This window comes from Homo sapiens, chromosome 18, assembly GCF_000001405.40.
Source record: "Homo sapiens chromosome 18, GRCh38.p14 Primary Assembly".
NCBI classification, from domain to species: Eukaryota; Metazoa; Chordata; class Mammalia; order Primates; family Hominidae; genus Homo; species Homo sapiens.
In genome coordinates, this window is record NC_000018.10 from 3,987,058 (window position 1) to 4,000,652 (window position 13,595).

Consider the following 13,595-nt stretch of genomic DNA (forward strand, 5'->3'; position numbering starts at 1 on the left):
TAGGTATTAATTATTTTCTGGAAAACAATCTGACTGTGCTAGCTTTGAGAATGAGAGCATTTACCTCCCTAGGTTTATTTACCTCCCTAGGGTTTATTTTCCTCATCTGTCAAATGGTAGAGTGCCTTGGCTTAGTGTTCAGACTGGGTTCCAAAGTTGCCTCAAGGGGAGATTGCTAATAGATAGAAATCTGGCCCCACTTCCTGCAGAGCAGCTCCTCTTCCAGGCCTACTCACTGAGGTCCCCATTTCCTCGATTGTTTGGAGAAAGGATTTTGAAAACTGAATTTTGCTACCAAAAAAAAGTTTGGAAAACAAAAAACCCACTGGCTTCAATGGGCACTAATCTTTCGTCCTATTTAAAAATTCTAAAATTCAATTATAACTGTGATTAACAAAAAGAATGGCATCTGTCTACCAAAAGCAAATAGCTACATTGGGTCTACTCGGTACCAGGCATCGTTCCAAGTGCTTTGCGTATTCGAACTCACTTCACCCACAGAACTATGCCTATATTATAATTATTTTTAGTTATTAAAGTCTAAAAAGTGTATGTTCAGAGATATTTATTTTCACTTTTATAATTTTCTTAGATACATTTGAGGTTATAATTTATTCAAAGCTAACATTCCTACAATGACTATTTAATGAAATGTAATCATGATATTGTCTTTCTTATATGCTCCAATTACAGATTTCTATGCATATTTTAAAGAGCGTTTTGTCTTTAACTTTTGGATTTCATCTTGAAATCATTAGACTAAGAGTATGTGCTATACTTTATAAATTATACATTAGACTATGTATGTACTTTCTCTGTGGCTTATACCAGTGGTGCCCAACCTTTTTGGCACCAGGGACTGGTTTCATGGAAGACAATTTTTCTATGGACCAGGGCGGGGGATGGTTTCGGGATGATTCAAGCCCATTACATTTATTGTGCACTTTATTTCTATTATTACATTGTAATATGTAGTGGAATAATTGTACAACTCACCATAAGGTAGAATCAATGGGAGCCCTGAGTTTGTTTTCCTGCAACTAGATGGTCCCATCTGGGGGTGATGGGAGACAGTGATATAAGTGTTGCTTATGTCCACTTCACTCTATAATCTCATTTTGGTTGCTGTCACTGCAATCTCAGGATATTCCGCCTTGACTTTAACCCAGAACCTATGGGGATTTGAAGTTCTCTCAAACATACATTTCAGGACACTAGATGCAGCTATACAATTGAAGTACCTCAACTCACTTGCCACTATAAAGCCTACCACCAGAGGCAGCTTAATTGTCACTTGCCGCTCACTGATAGGATTTTGATGTGCGTCTGTAAGCGATTGACTTATTATGGTCTCTGCACAGTTAAACCTCTCTGCTAATGTTAATCTGTATTTGCAGCCACTCCCCAGTGATTGCATCACTGCCTCAGCTCCACCTTGGATCATCAGGCATTAGATTCTCATAAGGAGCGGGCAACCTAGATCCCTTGCATGCACAGTTCACAATAGGGTTGGCGCTCCCATGATAATTTAATGCTGCTGCTGATCTGACAGGAAGTGGAGCTCAGGCAGTGATGCAAATGATGGGGAGCGGCTGCAAATAGAGATGAAGCTTCCACTCACCTGCGATGCAGCCCGGTTCCTAACAGGCCACGGACCCGTACTGCAGGATGTCTGAAAGATGCACTGTGTACTGTACCAGTACCAGTCTGTGGCCTGGGGGCTGGGGACCCCTAGCTTATAATGTTTGTTTCTTCACTTTCAACCAAACCTGGAAATCAGTTTCTAATGCCAGTCCGCGGCTGTGGCGCTGGGTAGCTGTAAATGTGCTCAGACATTTCCTGAGCTCCAGCTCCTGACTGCCGTGGCTTAACTGGGATAAACAGCTGAATGCAAATCTGAGCATGAATTCCTCGTCACTGTCCTTTTCCAGAACATGAGGTTATGGCAGGCATCACAGGCCCGGCTGCTCCCTCCTGCCTCCACTGCTGCACTTCCGAGGCAATGGGTTGCTCGGGACTTTTGCTTCTCCCTCCCAGGACCCGGTCCCTATGCTCCTGGAGGGAAGGGAGTTGCTGGCCATGGTTACCCAGTTCCCTGGAGCAGCCTAGCTTGCGTCCTTGCTGGTGGACGGCACTGTCTTTTCTTAGTGAGTCCAGCAGAGTTGGGAAATGGAAACTATATCATGTGAGAAAGTAAAGCTGCATGGGATGAGAAGGAGAAGGTTCTGAGGGTTCCTGTGTTTTAATAAAGTGGCAAAGCACAGGAGAGAGGGATTCCACTAATTCCTGTAGCCTTTACGGGCAGGAACAGAGCTGGTAAGTGGCAGGCTCAGGAGGCTGTGTGTCAATGAAGAGAAGGAAGACTTCCTGTCCACTGAGGTGTCCACACTGAGGCTGTATCCACACAGCCATTGTATGATAACTCGTCAGGGATGACAAATGAATCCAAACAGGATGTGTAGCTTGAACAGATGAGCTTTATTCAGCATTAACCATCCATCCAAGACTTCAACTAGTTTGTGTTAATGATCCCCCAAACAAATGTTAACTTGTCAGTCTTGATTTGAAGTTAAAAAACAAAGGACCAAACTAAAGAGCTTCTGCACAGCAAAAGAAACCACCATCAGAGTGAACAGGCAACCTACAGAATGGGAGAAAATTTTTTAACCTACTCATCTGACAAAGGGCTAATATCCAGAATCTACAATGAACTCAAACAAATTTACAAGAAAAAAACAAACAACCCCATCAAAAAGTGGGTGAAGGATATGAACAGACACTTCTCAAAAGAAGACATTTATGCAGCCAAAAGACACATGAAAAAATGCTCATCATCACTGGCCATCAGAGAAATGCAAATCAAAACCACAATGAGATACCATCTCACAACAGTTAGAATGGCGATCATTAAAAAGTCAGGAAACAACAGGTGCTGGAGAGGATGTGGAGAAATAGGAACACTTTTACACTGTTGGTGGGACTGTAAACTAGTTCAACCATTGTGGAAGTCGGTGTGGTGATTCCTCAGGGATCTAGAACTAGAAATACCATTTGACCCAGCCATCCCATTACTGGGTATATACCCAAAGGATTATAAATCATGCTGCTATAAAGACACATGCACGTGTATGTTTATTGCGGCACTATTCACAATAGCAAAGACTTGGAACCAACCCAAATGTCCAACAATGATAGACTGGATTAAGAAAATGTGGCACATATACACCATGGAATACTATGCAGCCATAAAAAATGATGAGTTCATGTCCTTTGCAGGGACATGGATGAAGCTGGAAACCATCATTCTCAGAAAACTATCACAAGGACAAAAAAACCAAACACCACATGTTCTCACTCATAGGTGGGAATCGAACAATGAGAACACATGGACACAGGAAGGGGAACATCACACTCTGGGGACTGTTGTGGGGTGGGGGAGGGGGGAGGGATAGCATTAGGAGATATACCTAATGCTAAATGACGAGTTAATGGGTGCAACACACCAACATGGCACATGTATACATATGTAACAAACCTGCACGTTGTGCACATGTACCCTAAAACTTAAAATATAATAATAATAATAATAATAATAATAATAATAATAAAAAGAAATTACTACTTGTTGAGTTTTGGTTGAGTATTAAAAGAAGAATAACCAGAAATATATGTGCTATTAAATACTCCTCCTTTCTCACATTATATATGTATGTAAAGCCAGATTTGCCTTCTACAGTTTGACCAAGACAACATAGTACATGCAACAGAGTGAATAAAGAGGCAGATATAGGAATTTAGCTGCCTTCTATTAAACCAGTTATTAGTTATAAAAATGTAAAATAAAACCACTCACTTTTTTTTGGCAAAATGGTTATTTTTTTTCTAAAATGTATGTTATTTATGTGAAGATTTAATGGAGTTATTAGTTTTCCTTTCCAACTTTTATTTTAGGTTCAAGGGGTACATGAGCAGGTTTGTTACATGAGTAAATTGTGTGTCACAGGGGTTTGGTGTATAGATAATTTTGTCACCCAGGTAATCAGCATAAAACTTTATAGGTAATTTTTCAAATTTTTTTAAAATTTGTTTTAATTTCTAATAAAGTAAATATTAATATAAAAAAACAAAAAACAAAAGACCTCATTTCCTGTATCTCTAAAGCACAAGCCCATTCTGAGATTTTATAGTTTTTTACTGATGTCTTGCTCAGACTTTTTCAGTAAATATTGAAATGATTAGAATTAAATAGAATTCTTATATATTTGTATTTACTCATCTCTCTGTATTTCCGGTGGGGGGATAGAGTTCAAGGAAAAGTTTAAGAGACATGGTTGGTTCATTTCAGGAGTCCAAACCTTATGCTAATGAGGAAGCTTTGTCAGGGGAATTTCAGATATTGGCCAGTGGCAGTGGTGGGAACCTTGGGGTTAGCATCCTTGAAATAACACCGCAGAGGTGGTGAGTGGCCAGTGTGCCTGGATGACCCAGATTTGAGTGGGGTCTCTTCTGGAGGCTGACTGCCCAAGCAGCCTGAAGAATCACAGAGATACTTTCTGGTTGGTATTGCCCTTCTCCCTTCTCCCCAGAGCTATGCCTGATTTGGGCTGAGACAGTGGAAAATACACAATGCATGTTTCAGACATTCCTGCTTTAATATGTTAATATCTCACCCACTCTCCAGACCAGGAATCTCATATCTTGTCCTACTCTTTTCCACACAAAAAGAAAACTGCATTACATATAGAATTTTTCAGTGTAGCTGTTGCTTATCCCATTGTAACTAACCACTTTGATTTATTTTTTTGTGTATATCTTGCCTTGACACGCTTTCTTTATCGAAGACCACGGAAACATGGATTCTTTGTGATATTTTGAAAAATGACAAATTGAAGAGATTTTTATCTCTGGAGACTCAGCTTTTACATCATAAAGTACTTCTCTCCCCTGATGGCTAACCCAATCACATAGTTCCACAATAAACAAGATGAATCTAGATTCATAAGACAGTATGTGCAGAAAAATGCTGTTACTCTTTGTGGCTTCTTTCCCTGTGCCTTGAAAATGTTCATTAAAAATCTCCTACTTAGTTTGCCTCATTATATTGGTTTACTCATATTGGTCCCCTATTTTAATGATTTAAAGCACGTTTGAAAAGATTTCTTGTTTGGAACATCCTTGGCCAGGCCACTACTTTGTAAAGTAGGGAAGTCTGCAGGCCCTAGTTGTTCTTTTGAACTTAGTTCATAAAATGATTTTTAAACACTGATCTATCAGCTTTTCTCTTCTCTTTATCAAAATTAATAATTCACATAAAAGCCACCTATTTAAATGGAGTCTCAGCTGGGTACGGTGGTTTACGCCTGTAATCCCAACACTTTGGGAGGCTGAGGCGGGTGGAATGCTTGAGTCCAGGAGTTCCAGACCAGCCTGAGCAACATGGTGAAATCTGTTTTCTACAAAAATTACAAAAATTAGCCAGGTGTGGTGGTGCACAACTGTGGTCTCAGCTAACTGGGAGGCTAAGGCGGGAGGATCACTTGAGCCTGAGAGGCAGAGGCTGCAGTGAGCCGTGATTATGCCACTGTACTCCAGCCTGGTGACAGAGCCAGACCCTGTCTCTAAATAAATAAATAAATAAATGGAGTTCCATTGTTAGCAACTTACACAACCTGGAAAAATCAACTGATCTATAAATATTGGCATGGATGAGTGTACAAATACTTTCAAAAAGAATTACAATTTCTCTGTAATAACTATCAAGGTTATTTGGCTAATAGGGGGTCCCTGGAAGACCTTTAAGACCTGTCTGTAAAAGAAAAGGAACGCTGGCAATTCACAAGACACCTCAGCAATGTAGCATCTGCTCCTGGGGCAGGTAACAAAATCCAGTTTTAAATTTTGCTCTTAACAGTTAAGGAGATAATCAAGTCAGCTTGGGATTGGGTTGTGCACAGGAAGGCTGCAAAAAGATTACAAAATAGCCTCCCCCTGGCAGAAATGTAAAAAAGCCATTCCATGATTTTTTTTTTTCAGTTCTGCCAACGATTTATCTTCAGAAGACAAGCAGATGAGGAGACAAAACCTACTGATGTGGGTACCCAAGCAGGAACCCCCCTCTTGCACCGGCGACTCACGTGGGAAGAAGGTAGGAAATCAACAGCATAGGGGAAAGAAAAGGAAAAGGAGTTTGGAAACAGGATAAGACAGGCTTCTTTTGAATAATGGAGAGGACTCTTAGAAAAAAGAAAAGAAACAGAATAAATTTTTATTCACTGATTCCATTTCAGCGCAGCAAATTCTCATTGATTTTAATCAATTGCTTTCTTACAGAGTTTTGTCCATATGTATGTGACAAAATCAGCGGTCATTTAATGACAGACTTAGAATGTGTGCTAAGAATGAAACCATTGAGATTTCCTTGTCTTTCCTCCTTTCAGTAAAAATCATGAAGGGGAGAAAGGGAGGGGGTGAGGGTGGGGCAAGGAGAGCAATATTTTATAAAAGTGACAACGCGTTTTGCATTTGAATTATTATTTATTTTCCCTGGTGGAGTTTCAAGCAGGTTATTGCAAGGAAAGGAAAAACTGGAAATTAACCAAACGTGGTCCAGACTGGGGATGACGAGTTTAGCAGGGGCTTTAATGGGACCTCCTAAGCGATTCAGGAGAGAATGAATCTCTCATAGTTTCCCTTCTCATGGGATCACTGACCAAGCTTCCCCAAATCAGGGTGCAGCAACAAAATCAGGGTGCAGCATCTTTTAAGTGGGCTTAAGACCCACTTAAAAGCTTATCATAGCGAGATGTTGAGAAGATAAAGTTTTAGTTTTTTATAGAGCAGAAAATATATATGAGATGAGGAATAAAAGGTTCTGTCTAAAAGCCTGACATGTGTAAGACTTTCCCTCCACTGTTGTTTTCCTTTTGGTTTGGTAAGAATGTGGTGAGTGAAGTAAAAAGATAAGGAGAGAAGAACCACAGAGACCCCCTTGAAGCGTAAAACTCTGTTTATTAAGAGTGAGAATGTTCAGTGGCCTGTGACCCTCCCTTTCCTAGGCCACCTTCCCCAGTGCTTGGCTTTTCCCTGCCTGGCACCGGGTGATCCAGGCAAGGCCCTGGCTGGGGTGCCGAGGGTGGGGGAGACAGCTCTGGGTCCTTCTGTGCCACTTCCTCCCTGTGCTGGTGTTTCAGCAGCAATCTGCCCCTCTGCGATGGCAGCCTGTCCACAGCTCTAGTGCCCATAGGCTTGGGGACCCCGTTCCTTCCCTTCATCTGACTCTTCAGGCCTAGAGTGGCGAGGGCTTCCCACTGTGCTTGTCTCTGGGTACCTCGGCCTCTCTGGCTGTATTTTCTTAACCCTGCTCCCTGCTCTATAAACAGACCCTTCTCTAAATTCACCTCAACTCTCTTAATGGGATTCTCTTTCATGGGATTCTGACTGACAGAGTGCGGCTAAAAATATCTCAAACCTGATAGAAGCTGAGAGGAGCTGAAATTTCGAGTTGCAGAAACCTGGATGCTTGCCACTATATAGAGGACAGCAAACCATTTATTATTTATACAATTTCAGGCAAATAGGCTCTAGAAATTCCAGGTACAAAAGATCTGAAGAGATGACTAAACACTAACTAGGATTAGTTACATTAATCACGGACTTTTAAAATGACCAGAACCACCTGCTGCTAAATTATAAAGTCCAAAAAGACTTCAAGAATTGTTCAAAACTAAATAATGTCAACTCTCTAGAATGATTTATTCAAATTTAAGTAGGCCAGACTCACAATTTGGAGCACAGCTCTTTAATACATATAGATTCTAATTTTCTAAAAGAGAAATAGATTTGTTACTTGACTATTAGAAAATTCATTGCATATTTAAAAAGCGAGAGAACTTAGCTGTCTGCCTGTTCTGAGTCTGAGGTGTAAATGTTTACCTCATCATACATTAAGTATCTATAGATTATGCTCAATACTTTTTGCAAAATGTAGCATAAAGTCACTACTCATGCCCTTAAAATAGGCAACAACAATGTAATTTTAGAAAATGTTAATAAGTTTTCCTAGCTTTTGATTTTTTTTTTTTTTAGCTTTGGCCTTATCCTTTTTTTAGGTAGTGGCTGGCATTATGGATTAATTACTTAATACACTTTTGTTGCCTTAGAATTCACTGAGCTGAAATGGAGTGAGAGCTAAGATGCTCTCAGAATATTCTTAAAATGACTGTGCTGCAAAGAAGCCCGGGTGAATAGAAGAAAATAGAAGGAATGGTGGATACAAGTGAAGGTTAAAATGAGGTAGGAACTAAATATTATACTGGCACTTGGGGTTAGTATTTATGAATTGTTACTCTCTGGCAATGCTCTACTCTTTTGTATCTTCTTCGGGACAGAAAATTCCGTAAGAAAGACCTTTCCAGGAAGAGCTTGTCCCTAAACTTATGGGCTCAGGGTTTGAACAAAGCGTCTCTTCCAAGACCTTGTGAATAATATGCATGTGGGCCACGTAACTTCACAAAGTAAAGTTAAACGAATGCATTCTTTTCTTGCTATTAGACCCCATTTATCGCACCAGCTGTTGGTGATTTCAGCGCACCTTTCCAAGCCTCTTGAGAGTTCTGCTCTAACCACACTGCCCCCTAGTGTTCTCTCGCTTTGGTGCAACGTGAGTAAAAAAAAAAAAACCACCAAGATTTACTTTCAATATATACACTGTATTCATCAGTGTTTTGCTATAGAGAATGTAAGATATCTTTCTGTAAATTATTTAGATATTTAATCTTATTTATTTATTTATCCCAATAAGATATTAAAGCATGCTAAGCTGGAATGATTTTTTTTCATAAATGGGTAAAAGCAAAAGTAAAAGTTTAGATACTATTAAATAATTCCTGATCTAATAAACGGAGACAAATTACCTAATATTTTTGAGCACCTATTATGTTAGACATGTAAGAAATACTGTATTACAAGTGAAGTCTAAGTAAGCCTAATTCAATACTTAACTTTTAAAGTTAGAAACATTTTAAATATATTTATTAATTTGATCTCGAATTTGGGGAAAACAGTAAAGATGGAAGAGAGAAAAGGGAGAATTTTTAAATTTTACATATCTAAGTGGCTTTGTATTATGTTTTAATTGAAAAATATTTTAAACAAGTCAATTCTGATAAGATGTAGAAATTCTACTTGCAGCTTTAGGACAAAGTGAATTAAAAACAAAGGCTTTCTACTTGAAATGTGGCCAGTGTGACTGAGAAATGGAGTTTCTAAATTTTCATTTCATTTTAATTAATTTCACTGATTTAAATTTTAAAACTGATTGATACTCAATTCAGTCACTGAAAACTTTTACGTATGCTTGTAACAACTTAGGTATCTGAATCTATTTTTTTCAAATGTAAATTTTAAGATATCTATTTAGATTAAATATTCCTAATAAAAATATAGCATTTTAATTGCATAGGCTATAAGTGAAAAATGTACAGCACATTTCAAATGTTTAGTACAAAGCCAAAAGAATGTAATATTTCTCATTAATAATTGTTATATTTAGTACATGTTGAAATTTATATTTAGATATGTCAAACAAAATATATTATTAAAATTAATTATATTGGTAAAAAAGGCTAATAGTATAGAAATCATAACTATGTATTCCTCTATCTGAATAAACTGAGAGAATCAAGTTTTCAGATTATTAAAGATTGAAAAATTGAAAATATATCTGTTTTCCATGGTGCAGTTCACATACCACTGGTGATAAATTACTTTAGCCAATGCAAATGTATAGGCTTTTTATTGTTATGCATTATTTGAGCAATAGTGAAAATGAAACTGAGATATCAAATCTATGATTTTGCAGATATTGATGTTTAGGACTACACTACACATTAATTACAGTGCTCATGTTTATAAATTTTTAGTAACTTTGACTCCACCATTAAATTGGATTAGAAATATAAGTTGCAGAGTTTTCTTTTTTTTTTTTTTCATATTTTAAAATAAGCTTTATTTAGATTTTTTTTTAATATTTTATATTTGCATCCATGCCTTCGAGAAACCTTTCCCACGGGAAAGGTTATTTTCGTCTAATGTTACCCATAACTCATTCGCTATTTGACGTAGTTCTCTTAAATAAATCATCCTTTAGTAACTCTTAGAATTATCTCCTAATTTACAAAAACTGAAATGAAAAGGAACTACTAAATCATTAGCAGGAGTGGTTGCAATCTTATTTTCTTGTAAGTAAAGGGAAAATGATAAAAATCAACCAGAAAAGAAATTCATGGGCAAGAAAAGTATTTTCTAAAATCTGTCTCCGTAGAGAAAGATGCCAGCTTGGGTCGCTCCCCCTCACCCCTAGGCTCGGTTAAACAGTTTGGTCAAAGGAGGACAGAAAAGTCCTTATGAGGGCCTCAAGTTGCAGAGTTTTCTAAAGCCTGAGTTTTACTGTTTCTATCCTTCTGGTGTCACTTAACATGTTCCTCTGTCCAGTGTATTTCCTGTAAGGTGTCATTTAACATGTTCCTCTGTCCAGTGTATTTCCTGTAAGTTGTAGTTAGAATTAAGAACAGCACCATACAATAGAAATATGAGCCACAAATATAATTTAAAATTTTAAAATACACATTTAAAAAAAGAAAACATTAAAATTAAAATTAATTTTAATAATATAATTTTATTTAACCCAATATGTCACAAATATTATGTATGTAGTCATACATACATATTAAATTTTAAAATTTAAGTCAATATTAAAGTCAATATTAAAAATTATTGAGATAGTTTACATCTTTTTTTCATATTAAGTTTTTGCTATCTGGTGTGTATTTTACGTGTACAGAACATCTCAATTTGGCCTATCCACATTTCAAATGCTCAGTAGCCACATGGGATTAGTACTGAATACAGTAGACCCAGGTACATCATCAGACTGAGGTTCAATTTTTGGCCAAAATACCCCACAGGTGGTGGTGTGTACCTCCATACAGAAGCATATGTCTGGTGGCTTTTTTGTGATGTTGGCAGTCATTGATTACCATTGTCTACACCCAATAATTCATTAAAGGTTGCAAAATGGCAATACTCAAATTTTAAAATTCCTTCTTCATTTATTAGATGGAGTACTTTTATCAAGAGAAACATCTCATCAACTGCTTGGTTACTTGGAATAATATGTATAGGGAAGTTAGGAAAAATGTTTGATCTCTTCCTTTTATTTGCCAGTTTTTAAAATAATGATTTTGGTTTCCTTGCATTTTCCAAGGATGATCAATAATATTTTATTTTAACAGTATTATTAGGAATTCATGAATGTTAATATTTGATGTGCCTCAGTTCATTGCAGAGTTAACTTAATTGCAGAGTTCTGATATCACCAAAGCCGTTTATGATATTCCAGGTCCGTCTTGTACACTTCCTTCCACAGACCTGTAATCAGCTATTTCTTCAGGGAGCCTGTGATTCCTTTTAGTGGAAAATGGTATGTAGAGAACATTATCTGTGTGTGAAGGGTTGAGCACGTTCCATCTTTTCAGAGAACAAAGCTAGAAAACATGTATTTTAATAAAATAATATTCATCATGAATTCATGATGTTTCCTATTCAAATTCAAGTAGAGGACTTTTTTCACAGTGTCCTTTTCCCTGTCAAATTTCAAATTTTATTGACATGAATATAATTATTCATTTGCTGTATTCATAATACACATGTGCAACAGTCTCGAATAAATAGAAGACTACCACTAGCAAAATGATTACAAAAATCAGCTTAAGATACTTTGCAGTTGTTTTTGTCATTATGATAACATTCCGCTAAAACAGGCAAATTATTGTGTTTTACGGTCACTTGGGAATAGTCCCTTTGGTGCTGTTCTGCCACCTACTGGACAGACAGGCTCAATAGGCTTATTTTACTTTTGATATTCAGGAATCACTTTATTTTAAATTGAATTTTGCTTTGTAATAATGCAAAGTTTTACATGACTCTAGAGTCAAATTTACAAAACAAGTCTAGTTTTTCTCCCTGTCTCCTCAATCTTATTTCCTTCCTCTACCTTTAAATATTTTATTTTTAAATGCTGTGATTTATATGTCCATTAGTATATATTTGTATATAATTTGTATACAAATTATACAAAATTGATATATATTTGTATTTTTTATCCCGTCTCCTTTATTAGATAATTGGTAGCATACTATACAGACTTTTCTCCACCTGAAAGAAACATACATATTATTATTAAAAGTTTATATGTATATAACCTGGAGTGTTGGGTTTTGCTTTGTTAGGTAATCTGGAAATATTTTTATAAATGTAAATTTAATCAGTAAATTTATTTTTAGGATCCAAATGCTTGGCATCACTTTTGTCATATTTGTTACATGTATTTCTGTCCATACAAGCATGCAAACATCGTCACATCTATATACCCGTGACTACCTCTATCTTTATTGCCTTACATTTCTACTCTTTTCCTATGTGGTCAATATCAAGGCTGCTCCATGAACTGTTTGCTACCAAGCTATGATGACTTGTGAATAGAAAGTAACAAAAACAACAACAACAACAAAACACATTTAGAAACATTTAAAGTAATTTGATATTGCCACTAAATTCAAGCATATGATTTTGTATATTTCAAGTGTCGCTTACAAATTATTGGGGGGAAAAGTGGCCCTTCACTACAGAGTCTGAGAAGCACTTGCCTACATTATTTGCTTGTGCGCATGTGTTCTCTCTCTCTCATTATCTTTTTGTTTTGTGTTTTCTTTCTGAGACAGGGTCTCGCTCTGTCATCTAGGCTAAAGTGCAGTGGCGCCATCATAGCTCCTTGCAACCTCAAACTTCTGGACTCAAGGGATTGTCCTGCCTCAGCCTCCTAAACAGCTGAGACTACAGGCACATGCCACTGCGCCTGGCTAATTTAAAAATGTTTTTGTAGGGAATAGGGTTCTCACTTTGTTGCCCAGGCTGGTCTTGAACTCCTGAGCTCAAGCAGTCCTCCCACCTCGGCCTCCCACAGGGCTGGGATTACAGGTGTGAACCACTGCACCCAGCCTCTTTTTGTATTTAGAAATGTTTGTGCTATTTTGTTCTGAGCCCTTTTTATTAACATCTTCATATTATCTATAATTTTATTAATATCTGTAAATAATACCTTTAGTCCCATTTTTACTTTTCTCATCCTACTATGAATAAAATTGAAATTAGCTAATAACCCCTTCTTCACTTTCTCCCCTGTTCCCTGGCATCTATTTTCAACGGATATGTTTTTATTCTCCATTGATATCCTTGAGGCAATCACAGAGCTTATTCTACTTTTTATATTCTCTTTCCAGTTTATGCCCCTCCTCATTTTTTGACAGTTAATTGTATATAGAGCAAATGGCCATCACATTTTGTACTCTCTCCCTCGTAAACTACAGGCATTATGAGTTATACAAAAAAATGTCTACTTAATGCTCACCGCCAGTTCTATTGTCGATGATTCTCTAGTCATATTGGTTTTCCGAGGCTTGGTCTCCATAAATTCCCCAGGAAAGGCTCATAGGAACATTACTCCCTGAGTTGTTGTGTGTTTATTAAGAATTGTGACC

At 37.2% G+C, this 13,595-nt stretch overlaps 1 protein-coding gene and 1 long non-coding RNA gene across 12 annotated transcripts in view; one reads left to right on the top strand and one right to left on the bottom strand.

The window, feature by feature from the left end:
- The window catches only part of DLGAP1 (DLG associated protein 1), a 959,276-nt gene that overhangs the window by 491,026 nt on the left and 454,655 nt on the right, over positions 1-13,595 (bottom strand). The gene's annotated exons all lie outside the window — the stretch shown is intronic.
- DLGAP1-AS4 (DLGAP1 antisense RNA 4) overlaps positions 1-13,595 on the top strand; it is a 51,591-nt gene that overhangs the window by 24,705 nt on the left and 13,291 nt on the right. Inside the window, exons 2-4 of the long non-coding RNA NR_102696.1 lie at positions 6,034-6,145; positions 8,160-8,292; positions 8,551-8,659. This is a non-coding gene — a long non-coding RNA (DLGAP1 antisense RNA 4). The remainder of the gene's footprint in view (positions 1-6,033; positions 6,146-8,159; positions 8,293-8,550; positions 8,660-13,595) is intronic.